Source organism: Homo sapiens, chromosome 10 (genome assembly GCF_000001405.40).
Source record: "Homo sapiens chromosome 10, GRCh38.p14 Primary Assembly".
NCBI classification, from domain to species: Eukaryota; Metazoa; Chordata; class Mammalia; order Primates; family Hominidae; genus Homo; species Homo sapiens.
Window position 1 is genome coordinate 29,596,151 of NC_000010.11, and position 21,899 is coordinate 29,618,049.

At 44.1% G+C, this 21,899-nt stretch overlaps 1 protein-coding gene and 1 non-coding gene across 5 annotated transcripts in view; both read right to left on the bottom strand.

The window, feature by feature from the left end:
- The window catches only part of SVIL (supervillin), a 279,599-nt gene that overhangs the window by 138,813 nt on the left and 118,887 nt on the right, over positions 1-21,899 (bottom strand). The gene's annotated exons all lie outside the window — the stretch shown is intronic.
- Positions 6,114-6,196, bottom strand: MIR938 (microRNA 938). The gene has a single exon (NR_030634.1). It is a non-coding gene; the product is annotated as a microRNA 938 (primary transcript).

Below are 21,899 nucleotides of genomic sequence, written 5' to 3' on the forward strand. Positions count from 1 at the left end.
TGCACCACCATAATTTGTCCTTTAAAAATTCCCTTCCTGGATGGGCGCAGTGGCTCTTGCCTGTATTCCCAGCCCTTTGGGAGGCCGAGGTGGGAGGATTGCTTGAGGCCAGGAGTTTGAGACCAGTGTAAGCAAGATAGTGAGACCCCGTCTCTATAAAGACTAAAAACAAATGAGCTGGGCATGGTGGCATGCACCTACAGTCCCAGCTACTTAGGAGGCTGTGGCAGGAAGATCACTTAAGCCCAGGAGTTCAAGGCTGCAGTGAGCTGTGATTGTGCTACTGCACTCCAGCTTGGGCAACAGAGCGAGGCCCTGTCTGTAAAAGAAAAAAAAATTATTTGCCTTTGCCCACAGAGATCATGGGAAGAGCATTTCAGTAAGCCATCCAGCAATAGAGGAATTAAGAGGTTTGGAAAATGTGGGGGTGGGGGATGATGCCACAACTCAGGGAGTTTCAGGGCCACTGGGCATTGGGCTAGAGGGAGGACCCCCATCCCCTCCTGCACCTCCCTTTTGTTACTTTCTCATGTATGGAAACCAAGTTCCCACCAAGGGCCAAGTACAGAACCCATCCCATGGTAGCATAAATGAGTCACACTATACTGTCCATTTGTACAGCATTTCACTGCATGCAGAATGCTTTCCATATCTCGTTTCATCTTCACACCGCATAAATGGACAATGGTAAAGTGTTTGAGAATTCACAAAGGGCTTTAATCAAGGCAGCTTCGTGTGATCCCGCTAGCATGAAGTTAAGTGTATGCTGTCTCCATTGCTACGATGAGGAGACTGATCTCCAGCTGCTACAGGTAGTTAGACATGGGCAGGGCAGGAGAGGGCTCTCCCGCCCCCCTACCAGGAATGTCTGGTGATGGTCCAGCAACTATCGCATTGCCTCTCTAAAAACGGTAATTCGGCAGCCAGGGAGAGACCGGCTCCTGAGGTTGCACACCTGTTAACATTAAAAGTGTTAACTGAATGCAGACCCCAGGGAGAAGCAACCTCTTGGGCATACGCGTTAAGAGACAAAATGGCGAAGTATGATATTGTGGGCATGTGCATAACTCCTTAAACGGGCTGCACTGCTCACTTCCAAAGGGGAAAGAGGGCACTGAGCATGCAGAAAGCCCGCCCTGAGGGAAGAATCATGGGAGAGAGGGCAGCCTATAAAGTCCCAGGATCAAGGGTAAATGCCTCCTTTTTTTTTCTCTTGGGCCTTCAGGCGCCCACCTGGATCTCTTCTAAGAGTTCTTTCCTGTTCTAAATCCTTTTATTTTTATTTTTGAGAGGGAGTCTTGCTCTGTTGCACAGGCTGGAGAGCAGTGGCAATCTTGGCTCACTGCAACCTCCACCTCCTGGGTTCAGCCTCACGAGTAGCTGGGATTACAGGTGCCCACCACCACGCCTGGCTAATTTTTGTATTTTTAGTAGAGACGGGTTTTTGCCATGTTGGCCAGGCTGGTCTCGAACTCCTGACCTCAAGTGATCCACCAGCCGCGGCCTCCCAAAGTGCTGGGATTACAGGCGTGAACCACCACGCCAGGCCTAAAACCTTTTAAAATACACTTCCACTCCTGCTCTGAACCTTGCCTTAGTCTCTTTCTGCTTGATGCCCCTCAGTTGAATTATTTCTTTTTAGGAGGCAAGGACTGAAGTTGCTGTGGACCCTTACAGATTCACAGCCGGTAACTCAGGGTAACTCACATCTCTGCCACCGCTCACACAGCAAGGTTAAAACAACAGGGCTTGTGACAAAAGAATTAAAAGCAGGGTGTCACAGACCCAGCTTTGTGCCCTTATGTTTCTAGTAGCATTATTCACTGTAGCTAAAATGTGGAAGCAACTTGGGTCCCTTGATGGGTGAATGGGTCAACAAAACGTGGTGTATCTAAACCCAGTGGAATATTATTCAGCCTTTCAAAGGAAGGAAATTCTGACACCTGCTACAACGTAGATCATGCTAAGTATAATAAGCCAGTCACAAAAAAATACTGTATGATCCCACATAATGATGTACTTGTGACATTCACAGAGCTAGAAGGTAGAATGGTGATTGTCAGGGGCTGGGGGAATGGGAAGTTTAATACGTATAGAGTTTCAGTTTTCCAAGATGAGAAGAATTTGGGAGATGGATGGGGATGGTTGCACGACAATGTGGATATACTGATATTTAATACCACCAAACTGTACACTTCAAATGGTTAAGATAGTACATTTTATGGTGTGTGTATTTTACCACAATAAAAAAAATTTGAGGGAAAAAGCCCCATAGGGCTAGTGAGAGGAAAACATGAAGGGTTAACAGGTGGGTTCTGAACCTGTGGGTGTGGGACTGAGGACCAAAAGGTTGTTTGGTCCCTGAAGGTTGTACAAAATCCCTGGATTGCTGCCTGTGCCCCTGTGGACAGAAATGACCAACCTGAGCTGCAAATGCCAGCATGCAGTTACGGCTGCCCCCAGTTTTCCCTCTGCCATCTCTAGTTTCAGTGGAGATTCCTCAGAGAAAGGATAATCCATATGTTTGAAAACTCAGCAGCAACTGTCTCTGGGGTGAGTGGGGAAATAAGGCCTGGAAATGGGCATCAAAGGGCCTCCATTCCTTTTTAGAATAATGTGAAAAGCCTGTTAGGTTTTATTCAAAACTGCTGTTTTCAAACCTTGGCCACAGCGGCTGTGTAGATGCTGGACTCTGGTTGAGGAAAGAGTGAAGCGAGAAAGAAAAGAAGATTGAAACAAGATTCTCACTACATTCTTCTGGTGACAGATTTGGAACATGAGCTAATGCACAGGCCAGCCCAGCCAACGTTTCATGAAAACAATGCTATCTACAGCTGCCTTGGGCATCTTTCAGAGCACAAAATAGCCTCTCTCCACTCCCTCCAGGCAGTTCAGTTTGTTTCTTTTTTTACTGATGCAAGGGTGTGGGTAATCCTTGCAAGCCAATATGTCATTTGGTTTAGCTTTAGAAACATTTGATCATGCTGATCTGGCAAAGAAAAAAAAATGTTTCCTATAGCAGGACTATCTCATCCCTGCAATCACGAGTCTGGGCAAGTAAGAGATGAGAGCGAGGAACCTCAGCCTGACACGCAGGACAACACTCAACTCCTAAGTCTGACCTTGACACTCAGGCAAACTCGCAGAATCACAGCTGTTCTTTTCTCTTGCCTGGAAAATTTAGAACACATTCAACATCGTGAGAATGTTGTTTTCTTTCTTTTATTTGCCCTCCATTTTTTTTTGTTCAGTCTTGCCTTTTTGTTTTAAAACTTTTTTTTTTGAGACAGAGTCTCGCTCTCTCGCCCAGGCTGGAGTGCAGAGGCATGATCTCAGCTCACTGCAACCTCTGCTTCCCGGGTTCAAGTGGTTCTTGTGCCTCAGCCTCCTGAGTAGCTGGGACTACGGGTATGTGCCACCACAGCCAGCTAATCTTTTGTATTTTTAGTAGAGACGGGGTTTCGCCATGTTAGCCAGGCTGGTCTCGAACTCCTGACCTCAGATGATCCGCCCACCTTGGCCTCCCCAAGTGCTGGGATTACAGGCATGAGCCACCATGCCAAGCCTGTCTTAAAACTTTGTGCAGTCCTCCAGGGAGAAGCAAAAATAACAAAATCAATTTCCCAACGGTCAGATAGACAGGATATGGGTGGCTCGCAGGGTGAATGGAATTTACACCAAATGTGGAAGATGTTCATCAAGTGCCTATTAAGTAGAACGTTATTAATGACAGCCCTCTTCTGTTTGGTTTGCTATCCTAATGGAAGAGTTAGAGGTAGGAGTAGGGTAATCTGGTAAATGCATCCCACAAAAGAACCAATAAAATCCACTACATGTGGCAAAAGAGGTACTCTACTATTGAGTGCTTTGGGCTGGATGAGATTTTTTTGATTCTTTTTTTTTCTTAAGAGATAGGGTCTCACTCTGTTGCCCAGGCTGGAGTACAATGGTGCAGTCATGACTCACTGCAGCTTCAAACTCCTGGGCTCAACCAATTTCCCCACTTCAACCTCCCAATAGCTTGGGCTACAGGTATGAGCCACCATGTCTGGCTGGATGAGCTCGTTACATGAATCACTGAAAAATTTTTACTCTGAATTTTGGCCATTAGTTATGTATGACACAGACTAGAAATCACAAAGGGGAAGGTTGGAGGTGTCTTTAGAAGTCCTCTGGTTTAGTCATTGCCAACTGGAGCTGAGCATTGTTAGACCCTCCTAAGGAGTCTTAACCTTCCCATGCCCCTCACCACACCCAGACATACGGCACCAGAATCTCTGGGTGGGACCCAGGCATGGGAATTTTTTTAAAGTTCCCCAGGTGAATCAGCGTGCAGCCCAGGCCTGTTGCACCTCCACATCAGATGGAGAAACACACAGGTTGGCTAAGGTGCTGTCAGTGGCAAAATCAGGACTGTAAGAACTCACCATTTTCTTTTATAAACAGCAGCATCATTTACATAGTAAAGTTTGTCACTTGGGGATGCATTTTATACACATATTATTAGAGAATAGGCAATTAACATTTTCTTAGTCCCAGAACATGAAATATTGGGGCACAAAAGGACCCTATGCAAAAACGAAGGGGTAGAATTGTGATGAGAACAACATTCAAACAAATCCTGTGAACCAGGAGAAGGACCGAAAGACTGTTCTAACTAAAACCCCACAATGGCATCTCTCTTCAAGGGACCCGTGCTATGGGACCACTTATCTGATCTGAAGTATAGTCAATACATATGATTATGAAGTTCCGGGTTCTTTCTCACACTCAGTGGTGAACAACTCGCTTCTAGAAGTCAGATTTAATAAAACCACATACATAGACACTCCCTGGTGTCCGCGCGGTTTTAAAACCACTTTTCCTGGCTCCATTTCTCCCTGTCATTAATATACATAACTTATGTGCTGACTTGAAAGGTTTGTATTTTGTTGTGGTTTTCATCCTATCTCAGAAATATGTGACTACAATTATAGACATTGGTCATCCAAGAAAAACAGCTAATGATACCAGCATAAATAAGTTCCTAGAGCAAAAGCATTGAAAAAAAATTTCCCCCTGGATTTTTATTTATTCACTTTGCTTTCCAAAATGCTACATGCCACATTTTAACCTAAAACCAATGTACACATCAGTTTTACCCAATTCCAGAGCTGAAACTGAAAATTATAAAGCTTAAAATGTGCTCCTCTGTATCTATCAACAAGATGCTTCTAAATCGTTATTAGGGAGAATAATGCATTAATGCATTCTTTCTTTAAAAGTAGAAATGTGTTTAAACTGAACTATCCATATTCTTTCACCATAGCATCTAGCCACTTTTGTCCCCAGTTCTAGGAGAGGTTTAAGCCTGAGGCACAATTTGCAACTACTATATAGAATGAGGTTCTTGCCATAGGCGCATTTCAGGATTGAACCTGTGGCTTTCAGCTCTGATGCAGAGAGAAACAGGTGACTGACGGCCTACCATAAATGCAAAGAACAGCCTGGAGAGTAAGAGCCTGGGCTCATCAGACATGAGTTCAAAGCCCAGCTCTAGTGCTTTTTAGCCATGTGACTCAGGCTAATTATCTCCTCTTCTAATGACAATGACTTTAAGGTTGTTCTAAGGATTGATGACATTCACATTTGTAATAGTGCACTCCGCACCATGCAGGCTTCTGATTCTGCTACCAGGTGGCATCATCTCCTGCTCAGCACCGGTTACCTCTTTCCTCTCCCTCTCTCTTTCTTCTCTTCCTCATTATCTGTACTTTTGTCCATTTGATCATTATTCAGTTTGTTGATGGCTGAGTCCTTTATTCTCCTAATTGTTTCTCTTTGTACCAGTTCATTGCTTGTTGGGATCACCACCAGTTCGATTTAGCTAAATGTTGACACAGTATTTGGTATCTACGTGAAAGATTTGGCAGTGATCTTTCAAAACATGGGGCCCTGGATTATTAGGTTATATTTCAATATTTTGCTTTTAACAATTTATGGAGCTATTGGCAACTCTAAACACCTACAAAAGAAATGCTGTCCACGACAAAAGAGTTCTGATCATTTTGCAATGACTTAGGAGAAACTTAATGATGTTTCATGAAGTGCCCCCTGGTACTTTAAGTGTTCATGAAGGCATACCAAGTTCTTAAAGGTGTACCACGGTTCATGAAGGTGCACTGGGTTCACCTTTAAGGGCACATGGTACACCTTCCAACATGCCGTACCTGCTTAACCTGCCTTGTCTCACCCTCCCTTCTCTGCTGTGGGACAACCTGGATCCCAGGCCCCAAAGGCTCAGAGGTATTACATACACTCTTCCATAAAAGGCCTGGGCAGGTGAAGTGTTCACTGCCAGAATGATTTGGGGGAAGAAAGAGAATGCAAATGTTTTTATTCATGATTATAAATTCTTATGAAGTCAGGCCTTCTATGAAAATCTATAGACCTATCAATCATGTACATTTGTAAACTGCAGCTTTCAAGTGGCTTTGCAATATAATGTTTAAAGATGCAAATGGTCAAGCCTGAAAGAAGACTAAATATAATTTTTTTAAAAAAGAAAGGGAGAGGCCGGGCGCTGTGGCTCACGCCTGTAATCCCAGCACTTCGGGGGGCCGAGGCAGTTGGATCACCTGAGGTCAGGAGTTTGAGACCAGCCTGGTCAACATGGTGAAACCCTGTCTCTACTAAAAATACAAAAATCAGCCAGGCGTGGTGGCAGGCACCTGTAATTCCAGCTACTTGGGAGGCTGAGGCAGGAGAATTGCTTGAACCTGGGAGGCAGAGGTTTCAGTGAGCCATGATCACACCATTGCATTCCAGCCTGGGCAACAAGAGAGAAACTCCATCTCAAAAAAAGAAAGGGAGAGGTATATCAGTTGTTTTAAAATCGTTTCATGCCCAGGAAGATGATAATGAAGGACTTCTTACCATCCTGACGACTGAAACTCGAGACTCCTTCCCCTTGCTGGATGTGTTTTGCTTTGGAGGTAAATAAATAAAAGCAAGTGCAGAACAGGACAAGGCTGTGGCCATGCATGGTATTTAGTCCCAGCTGGGAGAAACGATGTGAAAGATCCCCCACAAACCCTGCCCTCCCCCCTCATCCTCGTATCACAGAGAATGAAAATGCAAATAAGATTTCCAACCCTTTCTTCTTTATAAAGAAGAAAAAGAGAAGCAGGGGGAGAAGTTAGTAATTTTGTTTCCTGAAAGACTAAAAATAGGAATCTCTGTATTTCCAAGAAAGAGTTCTGTGGGGCATGCTGTGAAGCAAATAAAATGCTGTATGTACTCATATGAAGCTTTTAAAGCAAAAATGGAAAAGCATTCAGTGAGCAGATGCTTGAAATTTGGTCTCAACCACAGTGAAACAGCTCTGGCTCCCAAGAATTATAATTTATGGCCAGACAGTTCATCTAATTTCTTCACCTGTAGGTTGAAAGCATACTTGGTTTTCAAATTTAATAGAGCAGCTGGCTGGATCATGAGGAAGGTGATGAAATGATATAGGAATGAGCAAAGGGACCCTGCCCTCTCAAAGTGATCACAGTATCTTACTTCATGGAACTACTCACCCAGGGCCGGCCAGACTACATTCTGAACAAAACAGATATTGAAAAGAGCATTTAATGGGCACCTAAGGCATATGTTTTCAAATGACCTAACTGTTATTTTTGGAATTGCATTCAATTCATATAAAATTAGGCTGCTAATAGATGTCATACATAAAGTCAGGACTTGATCCGCAAAGGTGACTATGTAATAAGCCCACAGTACAGTCTTTAAAAATCCAATTTACATTTGTAATTTTTTGACTCATGTGATTGAATAAAGTTAAAAAGTGGCAGAAGAATATTTCACAGTGAAATATTTCCGCCCCCTTCCCCATTTCTGAGGTGCCAGTTACAGTAGTCGCCCCATGTCCATCGCTTCCTTTTTCAAGGTTGCAGTTATCCATGGTGCAGTACAATAAGATATTTTGAGAGAAAGAGAGGCACCACATTCACATACCTTTTATTACAGTATCTTACTAGAATTGTATTTTATTATTTATTATTGTTCCTCTTTTTTTTTTTTTTTGAGACAGAGTTTTGCTCTGTCACCCAGGCTGGAGTGCAGTGGTGCCATCTTGGCTCACTGCAACCTCCACCTCCCGGGTTCAAGCAATTCTCATGCCTCAGACACCTAAGTAGCTGGGATTACAGGCATGTGCCACCATGTCTGGCTTTTTTTTTTTTTTTTTTTTTTTTTTTTGGTATTTTTAGTAAGAGACAGGGTTTTGCCACGTTGGCCAGGCTGGTCTCAAACTCCTGGACTCAAGTGACCTGCCCACCTCGGCCTTCCCAAAGTGTTGGGATTACAGGCGTGAGCCATTGCGCCTGGCCATATTGTTGATCTTTCATTGTGCCTTTATTTATTTATTTACTTACTTACTCATTGATGGATTGATAGGGTCCTGCTCTGTTGCCCAGGCTGGAGTGCAGTGGCACAATCATACGTCACTGCAGCCTCGATCTCCTGCTCTCAAGTGATCCTCCCGCCTTGACATCTGAAGTAGCTAGGTCTACAGGTGCATGTCACTATGCCCAGCTAATCTTTTAAAAAAATTTTTGTAAAGATAGGGTCTTGCTGTGTTGCCCAGGCTGGTCTTGAACCCCTGAGATTAAACGATCCTCCCACCTGGGCCTCCCAAAATGCTGGGGTTATAGCCCCGAGCCACTGCACCTGGCCTAATTTATAAATTAAACATTATCATAGGTTTATGTGTGTACAGTATGGGGAAAAAACAGTATATACAGGATTAGGTTCTATCTGCGATTTCAGGAATCCACTGAGGGTCTTCAAATGCATCCCCCAGGATAAGGGCGGGAATACTGTTATTTGTTTCTTGTTTGTCCTTATGGAGTTTCTTTATGCAAGCAAATACAAATAGACACTTAGTTTCCCTTTCATATATAAGCAGAAGTGTGCAAAGTACTCTTAGCAATGTGCTTTGGAGATCTTCCCATATAGGCACACAGGCATTAGCCTCATTTTCTTACAGGTGCATAGTATTTTACTGTACGCAGGGTCTGTGATTTACTTAGTCCTCTACGGATGGGCCTTAAGGTTTCTATTCTTTTGCTGTTTTCAAACAAAGCTACATCACCTTGAATCTAAGTGTATCTGAAAGAACTCTGACAAAAACTGTCAAATCGCACCAGTTTACATTCCCATCAGCCACGGTTCCCGTCTCCCCCCAGCCTCAGCAGAGTGCAAGAGCAGCTCTAGAGTTTTGCTGCTCTGAGGTTTCCCAGATATGGTACATTTCTTTCCTCTTACTAAAAATGAGGCTGAGCATCTTTCCATATGTTTTAGACTCCTTAAATTCCTTTTCCCTTTTTTGTGAGCTGTCTGTTCAGATCTTTTGTCTATTTTGATAGTTTTAACTTTTTAAAAGGATTTCCAGAAATGTCTATATTAATATATTAGCCATTTGTTTGTGATGTGAGTGGCAAATAGTTTTCCTAGTTTTTTTTTTCTCTTTAGTGGGTTTTTTCCCCTTAGTGGAAAAGTGGCTTTAAAAAATATATATTCAAATATATATATATATTATTTACATAATATATATTTTATATAAATAAATGTATATGTGTGTGTTTGTGTAGAGAGAGATAGTTGATTTTTATCAATCTTTTCTTTCATGGTTTCTTAATTTTAAATCAGTTGGAAAGGTTTGCCAAATCCACAGCTATGAAGAAATTCTCCTGTTTTCTTCTAGTACTTATTAGTTTTTATTTTTATTTATTTTGAGATGGAGTCTTGCTCTGTCGCCCAGGCTGGAGTGCAGTAGTGCCATCTCAGCTCACTGCAACCTCCGCCTCCTGGGTTCAAGCAGTTCTCCTGCCTCAGCCTCCCGAGTAGCTGGGATTACAGGCATCTGCCACCACGCGCAGTTAATTTTTGTATTTTTGGTAGAGATGGGCTTCTGTCACGTTGGCCAGGCTGGTCTCAAACTCCTGAACTCAAGTGATCCACCTGCCTTGGCCCCTAAGTGCTGGGATTACAGGCGTGCGCCACAGCTCCCGGCCTATTTTTAAAAATTTCTGTAGAGATGGAGTCTTGCTGTTTTGCCCAGGCTTGTCTTAAACTCCTGGTCTCAAGCAGTCCTCCCGCCTCAGCCTCCCAAAGTGCTGGGATTACAGACACTGGCCACTGCAACCAGCCAATATTTTTGATTTTGAAAAAATTTAAGCCTGTACAAAGTAGAGACAATGCTATAATAAACTGGCATATACCCCCACCTAAATTCAACTGCTATCAAGGTTTTGTTATACTTCTTTCTTCTATCTCTTCTCTCTCTCTGACTCTGTCTCTCAACAAAATTATTTTAAAGTACACCCAAAATATCAACTCATTTTACCTCTATATACTTCAATATGCATTTTAAAATTATGAATATTTCCTTGTATAACTATAATGCTATTATATGTAACAAAATTAACAATATTATTTGGTATCATCTAATACTTGATCTATAATTGATTTTCTCCAGTTGCCTCAAAAATGTATTTTTACGGTTGGTTTTTCCAAATAATAATGCATTTGTGGTTTCATTTTTAAAAACATTTAACTATTTTTTTATTTGTTTATTTGAGTCAGAGTCTTGTTCTGTCGCCCAGGCTGGAGTGCAGTGGCAGGATCTCAGCTCATGGCAACCTCTGCCTCCTGTGTTCAAGCAGTTCTCCTGCCTCAGCCTCCCAAGCAGCTGGGATTACAGCCACGTGCCACCACACCCGGCTAATTTTTGTATTTTTAGTAGAGACGAGGTTTCACCACGCTGGCCAGGCTGGCCTCAAACTCCTGACCTCAGGTGATCCATCCACTTCGACCTCCCAAAGTGCTGAAATTACAGGCATGAGCCACTATGCCTGGCCTACACATTGAACTATTTAAATATTTGATCCATTAGAAATTTATCCTGGTGTGGGGCATGATTTATTCATTCTTCCTTATGGTTACCCAGTTGCCATTATGTTTATTGGGCAATCTAGTTTTCTTCGTTGACTTTAAATGACACGTTTCAAAATTTATGTATTCTCATATATATCTGGGACTACTTCTGGCTTTCTAATATGTTCTGCTGTCTTGTTTATTCACTTGCCAGTACCACATTATTTTAATTACTGAGGCTGTGTAATGCATTCAATAACTGGCAGCTCTTGCTTATTTGTCCATGTGAACTTCGGAATCTCCTTGCCTAGTTTATTTTTTTTCTTAATGGTTGGTATTTTATAAATTGAGAATGTGTAAAATGTAATAAATTAACTTAGGAAGAATTGATATATTTAGAACCTCAAACTTCCCTAATTTAGAACATGATTTTTTTTTTCAAATTCTTTTTTGTATTTTTTAGGAGTGCCTTCCAGTTGTTTACATAGATTTGACATGTTTCATGTTAAGTTATTCCCTGGTACTGAATTGCATTGTTACTGTAGCAAGTGTGGTCTTTTCTTCCTCTGTAGTCTGTGAATGGGCTGCTGTTTGGAGGTACAGCTTTCCACAATGCCAACGTCTTGCTCTCTGCCTGAAAAGATGCCCCAAGGCCCAGCACACCCATGCTGTGACAAGCAGGGCACATCCCTGAGTCAGAGATGGAGCAGGTCAAGGCAGCTCAAGGCTTCCCATCCTGACTCCAACCCCTTCACGGGCAAGGCTCAAGGAGCTGGGAACCTGGAGTAAGAAGAAGATGTGAACTGAGTTGCGAAAATCAAACTCTAAGAGCTGGGAGGCTCTTTCCCATCAAGCTTCTAAGAAAGCTAAACTTTCTCTAATATGAGACGAATAATTTGTTATGAGATTAATGTAGATGCGCTGCAAGACAGGCATCTATCCGATCATTCTTTTGGACTCACAGCAAAGCTTATCAAACGCTGTCAGCAGTCACTCTATGCACAGCCCTGGATTTGGCAGTCACTTTGAGTATGGGACTCTCTACTGCCCCCTCCCACCTACACAACATTACCCCCGCCTCCTCACCCCTTCAGGTGCCCTCACTCATGGCCAGGCTGGGCAGGATTAGCTTCTCTGCTGCAAGAGGGACGTCAAGGCAGTGGAAGTGGGGTTGGCAATTACCTCTGCTGCAAAGTCCTCTGGTTGAGACACCAGGCTTAGCCTGCCTTCCTGCCAACTGTTGACGGCAGCAGTGGCCCATCTGGGGTGGCTGCTGTGAGGACGCCAGCTGCAGTGGGGAAGCCATGGCTGGGATTGTGCACTCTGTGGAGCTGGCAGGGGCCAGGAATAGGTGATCCCAGCAGGAGCCCTGCACCCTACCAAGCTGGCAGGATGGGAGCCTGTTCTCCCAGGCAGTTGCAGCTGCCCAGCCGTGGACCTGGGCATCCCTGCACTCTCCAGGGCCTGGGAAGCCTCCTATTCCTTCAGGCAGAGGTGCCTGTTCCCACTCTCTGGCCTCTCCTCTCTCCAAGTGCCCGCTCCAGTGCGAAGCAAAGTTGTGGCAGACCCAGCACCCTGCTGCCTCAGCCCTTTCTGGACTTCGGGCAGTGATGAGTGTGGGAGGGAGGCTGGGGGCATTGAGGGCAGCTGAGCGTGGGCATGTGGGTGCCCCTCAGTGCAGATAGCCTGCGTGCCATGGATGGCATGTTGATGGCAGTGGGAGGCAGACAGGTTCCTAGGCAGGAAGGGGTGGGTCTCTAGTGAAACCCTACCTTTAAGCCAGGGATGGCCTGAAGCCTGGGGGCTCAGCTGTCCGTTCCAGGTGGAGTCCGCAACCTGGAGTGAGAACTTCACTGATGCCTTTTGGCCAATCAGACGGTGCTTTTTCCAGGCCTGCCTATGACCACCTATGGACCAATCAGCATGCACTTCCTCCCTTCTGAGCCCATAAAAACCCCAGACTCAGCCAGCCTAAGACACTTGTCTGGACCACCTGTAGAAAGGAGCTACCCACTTTGGGTCTCCTGACAGCTGTTCTGTCACTCAATAAAGCTCCTGCCTGCCTTGTTCACCCAGTTGTCTGCATAACCTCATTCTTCCTAGACACAGGACAAGAACTCAGGACCTGCTGAATGGCGGAAGTGAAAGGAGCTGTAACATGTTCTTGACCAGCTCGCTGAGCTGTGGGTGGTGACATGCTCCTGGGCTATGGGAGTAAAGGATGGCAACCCTTCTGGGGGCCCAGACCTCAGAGCTGGAGCTGCTGTTAACACTATAGCCCTCCCACCCTCTGCTGGTGCTGAGTGGCCACCCCACATGATGGGAAACAGCAGTGGGGCTGGTCCAGCCCATGAGCCACGGGCCAGAGCAAGGTGGTGGGACTGAAAGAGCTGTAACACAAATGGGCTGAAACATGTCCCCCCACTCACCACACTGTAGGTAACAAGAAGTAGAGAAGAGCTGCAGCCCTTCTGGAAGCCCAGACCTTGGTGCTCCCTGAGCCATGGCTGTGACATGCTGTAACACCTATTTGGGGACTCTGCAGTTCCTGGTGTCTCTGAGCTTTCGGGCACCACCACATTCCCCTCATCCAGACGCTGGTGCCCACAGTGGAAGCCACTTGTGGCACATCTGGTCCAGCCACAGCCTCAAAGGGAGCTGGCATATGGAGCTTCCCACCCTGCCACAGCAGCCAGCGTGCCTGGCTGTGCAGTGGCCAGACCCTGTGTTCACTCACTCACATACCCACTTGCTGCTCCATGCCTGGCTTGCCCTTGGCAGGCATGGGATCCAGGCTGGTAGCACAAGCTGAGCACATCTTACTGGGCTGAGTGGACAGAACAAGTCCAGCAGGCATGAGCAAAACTCAGGCAGAGGTGCCACCAGCAACAGAGGTTTCCAGCTGGTAAAGCGACACCCTAAGGATCCTGTGACACTGTGACCTCCCTCCCCCTGAGAGACTGGTAAGGACTGGACAGGCTCATCACCGTGAAGTCAGAGCAACCCCTCACCCTTTTCTCATTTCCACACTGTGGCGGGCTCCCTGCCAATCTGGGTAGTTTGTCCCAATTTTATCTCTGAGTTCTTGCAGATCTCTATCTCCAATCAGTTCCTCAACCTGGGCAATTCTTCCCTCACGCCCCACCCTCGTCCCTTCCTTTCCCTCCTCGCTGCCATCATTGCAGAATCTGAGACTTGTACAATCACAACAGCCTCTGAATTACCTCTGGTGGTGTCTCCTCCTCCTCTCCATCCTCCATAGGGCCACAGCATCTGTTCCTTCCAGACTCCCAAGGTTTGCCATTGTCCATAAACACACACCACTTGTTTTGTCAATCAAGGCTCTCCCCTGCCCAAACAAGCTCCATTCACTCTGCATTTTTTTTTTTTTTTTTTTGAGACAGGGTCTCGCTCTGTCACCCAGGCTGGAGTGCAGTAGCATGGTCCTCAGCTCACTGCAACCTCCACTTCCTGGGTTTAAGCAGTTCTCCAGGCATGCTCCACTATGCCTGGCTAACTTTTGTATTTTTAGTAGAGACGAGGTTTCACCATGTTGCCCAGGCTGATCTCAAACTCTTGGCCTCAAATGATCCTCCTGCCTCAACCTCCCAAAGTGTTGGGATTACAGGCGTGAGCCACTGCACCCTGCCCATTCTACCTTCATGTGTCCTTTCCTCCTGCCCACCAACCTCCATCTTTTCATGAATCAAAAATCCCACCCACCCTTTGGGCCTATGAAACCTTCCCAGACTCCCTCAGCCCCTGGCTCCTCATTTCCTGTAATTCCTGTGCAGTGCATCACTTGTGATTCTTTAGGTGCACTCTCGCTCATGCATTTCTGAGCTGCTGAAGGAGGCTCTTCGCTACCCAAAGCACACTGGCCCCGTAACTGTGTTCAGCTCACTTTTGTGCCCAGAGCCATCAGCTACTTCATAATTACCATGGATACTCTTCTGCTCTTTCCACATGAATCACCTTGATTTCTAGTTGCCTTTTTGGATACCAATAAGTAACACTTATACCCAACTCACTAAGTGCCTGAGAGGAATGTCGCCCCCTCCTTCCTCAGTCAAGTATCCTCACTGGAGCATGATCTACAGTCCCGCCGTCTATTCCTGCCTTGCCTATATCCCTGTGAATGCAATTCTTGGTTAACTCTTGTTTAGTGAGAAGGAAGCTTGTTCATTATCTTCAGTACACTGCTCCTTCACACTTTCAAAAAAAGCACTTAAAAGTCCCTCATTTTAGAGGCTTGATCTGTTTTAAACATAAGGACTGGATGCTGGTATGGCCACAGCTCTAGCCTGTCTAGAATAGGGACCGAGGTGGGGGGACTGCTGGAACGTGTCAAGTGGTTACTCATCCCCAACTACTCCCAAGCAGGACGGCATGTAATAAGTCTCATTTTAGCTCTGACAGGCGTGTCACTATGACATATGATGGTTCAAACACTGGCCCTTGTTTAAGATAAAGAGCATTTGACATTTTTTAGCATTCTAGAATATTTTGGAGAGGAATCAGGAGCAAACCAATGCCAAAGGTAAAGAAGTCTGAATTTAAGGGGTAGCAAAAGGTAAGGATAGTTATTGTCAGATGTGGTTAAAAGGTAGGCAGGACCCCAGCTCTGCAGAATCGTGCAGGTGAGGCAAAGGAGCATCTCAGAAGCGAAGCTGCTACTTACGAGAACTTCTGGTCTCAACCAGTCAGAACTCAGAGTGAATCCTTCAAGGTGACTGGAGCCAACTGGTTCCCTGAGACCCCCTACCCTTGGGACAGCTTAAAGGCTTAAGACTGCAGATGGGTATTATTAGAAAATGGGGCCACGCCAGAACCAGGGGGAGAATCTCTCATTCCATGGACTTTACGCTCCAGGAGATACCAAATGGCCCAGTGGGAGGGTGGGGTTTGGAATGCCATGGAATCTGTTAGCAATATGCTGGCTCGTTTTTCTCCAGAAATATTCTGCCTGCCCTAGGGGGTAGCTCAGATGTTGGCAGGACTCACCTCCTCAGCTATCTCAGGAAAAAAAAAATCGATCCTCAGCCCTTTTTCCCATTGCAAGTCATAAGAGAATGTGCTTCCACCCCAGGGTAGCATGTGCCAGCCAGGTGGTGAGGTCATTCGAGCAAGGGTCCCAGGGAATAGGAGGAGCATGGACAGTCGGTTGACTATGGATCCTCAACAGCCAACAGAGAAGTAATCAGACCCCTTGTTCCAGTGATTCTCAGGGAAAATATTTTAGAGTTCCCTGCTCTCTGTTTATCTCCTTTCTAGCTTCTTGTGTATTGGTAGTGACATCAGGCAGTGAAATGACTGACCATTCTTTACATCATCCATGGTATCAGGGATGGAGTTGGAAGTGAGGCTTTTTGGTGGGTTGGGTGGAATTATAGGGGAATCACTTGCACGCTGATAAAGGACCTCCCTCCTTGTGAGACTCAGAGTTTGGGGGCAGTGCTGTCCTCCCAGGGTGCTCTGCCAAATATGCTTAAGTTCAACAGATAACTTGTATTTCAAAGAAACAGCTCTGGAGCTCTGCACCCAGAAAACACAAGAAGAGGACATCATGAGTTCTCTTGGATGTTAAATGTGATTTTCTAAGAGATTTATGTTATGCAGTTAAGAAAAGAAAAAACATAGCAAAGGAAAAAAGATTTCAAAAAGTTTAAAAAACGTAGATCCTTAGTAAATGTGCTTTTCCTAGTCACAAACGTCCAATCTGTACAGGACAATTAGGACAATGTTCACAAAGCCCCATGCTGGTGGGTTCACTCAAGCTGATGGCTGGATGGCACTGGGCCAAGATGCTATAGAAGGAGGGATGAGGCTGGGCGTGGTGGTTCACGCTTGTAATCCCAGCGCTTTGGGAGGCTGAGGTGGGCGGATCACAAGGTCAAGAGATTGAGACCATCCCGGCCAACATGGTGAAACCTGGTCTCTACTAAAAATACAAAAAACTAGCTGGGTGTGGTGGCACGTGCCTGTAGTACCAGCTACTCGGGAGGCTGAGAAGGGGAATTGCTTGAACCCAGGAGGCAGAAGTTGCAGTGAGCTGAGATTGTGCCATTGCCCTCCAGCCTGGTGACAGAGAGACTCCATCTCAAAAAAAAAAAAAAAAAAAGAAGAAGGAGGAGGGATGCGGGCCGAATGAGTGATGCTCTGGTGCAGTGGAGAGGTTGATAATCCCTACCCTCTGGTTTTGAGTAAATAGGTCTGGGTGGGGACCAGAAAGCCATATTTTTCAAGATCTTTATCAAGTATTTTATTTATTTATTTATTTAGAGTGGGGTGTTGCTCTGTTGCTCAGGCCGGAGTGCAGTGGCGCAATCAAGGCTCACTGCAACCTCGAACTCCTGGGCTCAAGCAATGCTTCTGCCTCAGCCTTGCAAAGTGCTGGGATTACAAGTGCATATTACCATGCCCAGCCACTTAAAAAAATTTTTTTTTGTAAAGATGGAGGTCTCACTATGTTGCCAGGGCTTGTCTTGAACTCCTGGGCTCAAGTGATCCTCCTGCGTAGGCCTCTCAAAGTGCTGGGATTACAGGCGTGGGGCCTGGCCATTTATCAAGGAGTTCTAATGATCATCCAATTTGGAAAACAATAACCTTGATGAATGATGATCTGTTCCAAACCCATGGTGATATGGTTCTAGTTGAAATATTTTATTTCAGTGAATCCAGAATTTTCCCTGGATGAATAAATATGCAGATACTCACCTATAATTTGACATTGCAACCGGAAGAATATTCTCTTCTTTTACGTATTTTTTAAAGGATTGACCTAAGGGTACTAAAATCCAGATAATCACCTTACATATGAATTCCAAAAGCCCAACGAACTCATCAGTAAGAAAGTTTTCCTTTCCCCTTATGGAATGTATGAGACCACTGTGGTCAAGGTTTCCTCGGTGAATCAGCTGCAGAATCCTGGCTAAGTCTTAGGCACTGAGCTCAGCCTCCTCAGGAAACTGGCTCTGGAATGGCCACTGAGGCACCAGAAATAGGAGCTTTCTATTATCACTAACTATACCACAACAGAACCTTTTAAAGCCATTTTTTTTAAAAAATTAAAGGATATTAAATCATTTCCCTAGATTTTGTGGAAATCATAGGCTCAAATCATTTACTTTTATCACTGAAGTTACAAAAAGAATTACAATAACATTTTAGTTAAAAAAAATATAATTGCAGCATGATCTAGGACCAGAAATACCATTTGACCCAGCAATCCCATTACTGGATATATACACAAAGGATTATAAATCATTCTACTATAAAGACACATGCACACATATGATTACTGCAGCACTGTTCACAATAGCAAAGACTTGGAACCAACCCAAATGCCCATCAATGATAGACTGGATAAAGAAAATATGGCACATATACACCATGGAATACTATGCAGCCCTAAAAAAGGATGAGTTCATGTCCTTTGCAGGGACATGGATGAAGCTGGAAACCATCATTCTCAGCAAACTAACACAGGAACAGAAAACCAAACACCACATGTTCTCACTCCAAAGTGGGAGCTGAACAATGAGAACACATGGACACAGGGAGGGAAACATCATACACCGGGGCCTGTCAGAGGATGGGGGCATAGGGGAGGGACAGCATTAGGAGAAATACCTAATGTAAATGATGAGTTAATGGGTTCAGCAAACCAACATGGCACATGTATACCTATGTAACAAACCTGCATGTTCTGCACATGTATCCCAGAACTTAAAGTATAAAAAAAATCCTTGCAGCTTATGGTTAAAATGAAATCCACGAATCATTTGGGTCCTAATGAAGATTAATCATCATCATTCAATAAACATGCCCATGCTGCAAGTGGCGCTTTTGGTGTTCTACAGGCATAAACCTATCTGATCCTCATAACAACTCTATGTGATATGTACTACTATCATTCCCATTTTACAGATGAGGAAATTGAGGCAGAAGTTAAGTTATCCCCCCATGCTAATACAAATCATAACAAAAAGTGTTGGAATTTGAACCAACACTAGTAGCTTCAGCGGCCACAGAGAAGGCCCACAGTCAGACTTGAGGTTAGCAAAGCTTTTAAGGTAAATGACAGCATCTATTTAAGAAACAGACCAAACAATTGCTATTTTTTAAAAAACTATCATATCACAATCGAAGGATTGATCTTATCTCATTTGCTTTAGCTTTAATTAAAGAATTTTCTAGATGTTTGCCACCTTGTTTCTTAGCCTTTTAAAATGATCCTACTTCTCCCAGCTGTTTCTTAACATACAATGGTGTATTATTATTTACCATATTTTCCCCACCAATTCACAAAGCAAATGCAACACAGCACTGGATCAAATGACAGATTTGATTTCAATTTTGTTGGCAGTAACTTCTGTGTTTAATTACTCATTGTGTTAAAAGCTAAAGCTGGTTATTCCTCGCTTGTCACCTGCAGTATAAAAATGGAACTATCTAAAACAAAAACACTTAATTACTTTCCTTCTGGAGAAGGTTTGAATGAATCAGAAGTGTCACAAAGCAAATTTTCACTAGGGAGCTTGACAGATGAAGAAATCAAACAGGCTTTCAGCTCTGTGTACTTTCAGTCTTTCTGCTCATTCAAGTATGTGTGTTCCATTCATTAATTTCTTCATTTCACAAATATTTATTGCTATATATCAAGCATTGGGCAGTAATGGTTAGAAGTCCTAAATATCAGGCATAATATCAAATTTAAGTACAAAAATGTTTTCCAAATCCTGTTCAGATTTGTTTAGAGATATCTGCCTCTTTGAAATATACTATTTTCAGAATAATTCAGAGTTTGCCATAAACTCCCACACTGACTTCCTCACATTTATTTCAGCCAAGCAAATTTAAACAGAAGTTGATGCTTTTCCTACACAATTTGCAATGACATGGCATGATACCCCATATCTAAATAATATGCTTATACAGATGACCAAATTTAGTTTTTGTTTAAATCTTTATCAATTCAAGGTTATTTCAGCACATAGGTGGGTGGCTTATTAAACCTTTACTATTTGAGAAATTGCATTTCCTTTTTATTTTCCTCCTGGGTTCAAGCGATTCTCGTGCCTCAGCATCCCAAGTAGCTGGGACTACAGGTGTGTGCCACCTTGCCCAGCTAATTTTTGTATTTTAGTAGAGGCAGGGTTTCACCATGTTGCACGGGCTGGTCTTAAACTCCTGAACTCAGGCAATCCACCCACTTCGGCCTCCCAAAGTGTTAGGATCACAGGCATAAGCCATCGCACCCAGCCTGTATTTCCATTTTTAAGACAAAAGCGTGTAAACTCGTTCTGAGGTTCGGGCAATTGTGATATATAATACATGCAAGTTAGTCCAAAATCAAGTAAAATATACAATAAACTGACATACAAGACAGATTCCAATAAACAAAATGTCACACTGAAAACACAGTAATCTGATATTAGGATTTATTGTACTGCACTGATATTTTTTATGTAAAGCATGAAGCAGGGTCTGGAATATACCATTTCAAAATATGCCACTCTGGCATAAGGATTATTCTGAGTTGAAGGCAACGGAGGATCTCTGCGCCCACTTTTTCTGCCTAAAAGCCAGGCATAAACTTCCCTTTGTTCAGGTGTCTCCCACTCCTGTACCAGGAAGGGGAAGTGCAACTCTTTTTTATTTTGTTTGAGATGGAGTCTGGCTCTGTCACACCCATGCTGGAGTGCAGTGGCGTGATCTCTGCTCACTGCAACCTCTGCCTCCCAAGTTCAAGTAGTTCTCCTGCCTCAGCCTCTTGGGTAGCTGGGACTATAGGCCCACGCCACGAAGCATGGCTAATTTTTATATTTTTAGTAGAGACAGGGTTTCGCCATGTTGGCCAAGCTAGTCTTGAACTCCCAACCTCAGGTGAACCACCCACCTCAGCCTCCCAAAGTGCTGGGATTACAGGCATGAGACACCGCACCTGGCTGAAGTGCAACTCTTAACACCAGAGATGGAGATGAGTCTGCACAAACAAACCTCACTAAAATAACGCTTATCTTCCCCTAGTTTCCCCCGTGTATTTCCCAGTTGCTTCCGCACAATTGTTCATCCCTTGAAGCCCAAAGCTCTTTTCCTTTATGAAGAAAGGTATATAAGCTCCCAAGTCTGATCTGTTGAGTGTTACTTCTTTTCTGTGAACTCCCATACATATAAATTATTAATAACATTTGTATTCTTTTCTGCTGTGAACCTGACTTTTGTCAGTTACATTTGCAGGCCCCTGGTCATTGCACAAGAGAGGATAAAGAAAGAGTTTTTCTTCCCTGACAAGAGCATCGTACTTGTATTTCTAATGTATTTCTCTATTTTGTATTTTGTACTAAAAATACAAAAAATTAGCCAGGCGTGGTGGTGCGCACCTGTAGTCCCAGCTACTTGGGAGGCTGAGGCAGGAGAATCGCTTGAACCCGGAAGGCAGAGGTTGCGGTGAGCCGAGATCGTGCCACTGCACTCCAGCCTGGGCGAAAAAGGAAAACTAATCTAAAAAAAAAAAAAGAAAGAAAGAAAAAAAAAGAGAAATTCTGTCTACTTAAGAAAATCTCCACCAAGGATGCAGATGTAAACTACTTTTTGGAGATTCATTGGAAGCATCCTTACGAGGTGACAGTGACTATGAGCTTTTGGTGGACACTCCAAAATATACAGTCTACTTGCTGGTGGACTCCAAGTTTTCAATAGAGATTACACTTTTCTCAAATTAGTTTCAGTGTGGCTCTCTATGGAACAATAGAAATAATAAAGCCGGCCAATGCAGGCCAAATTTGACAGCAAATGGAGATAACTGATTTAAAAGACAGATGCCTGAAAGAACAGTCCACAGTCTGGCCAAGACGTTAAGAGGTTTTCAAGTCCTAAAGTACCAGCCATCATTACATTATCATGGGCCATATGAAAACATCCTGCAGCCTCTAATCCATGATAAAGTGATGGGACGTGCACAGAGACTGTTGTAA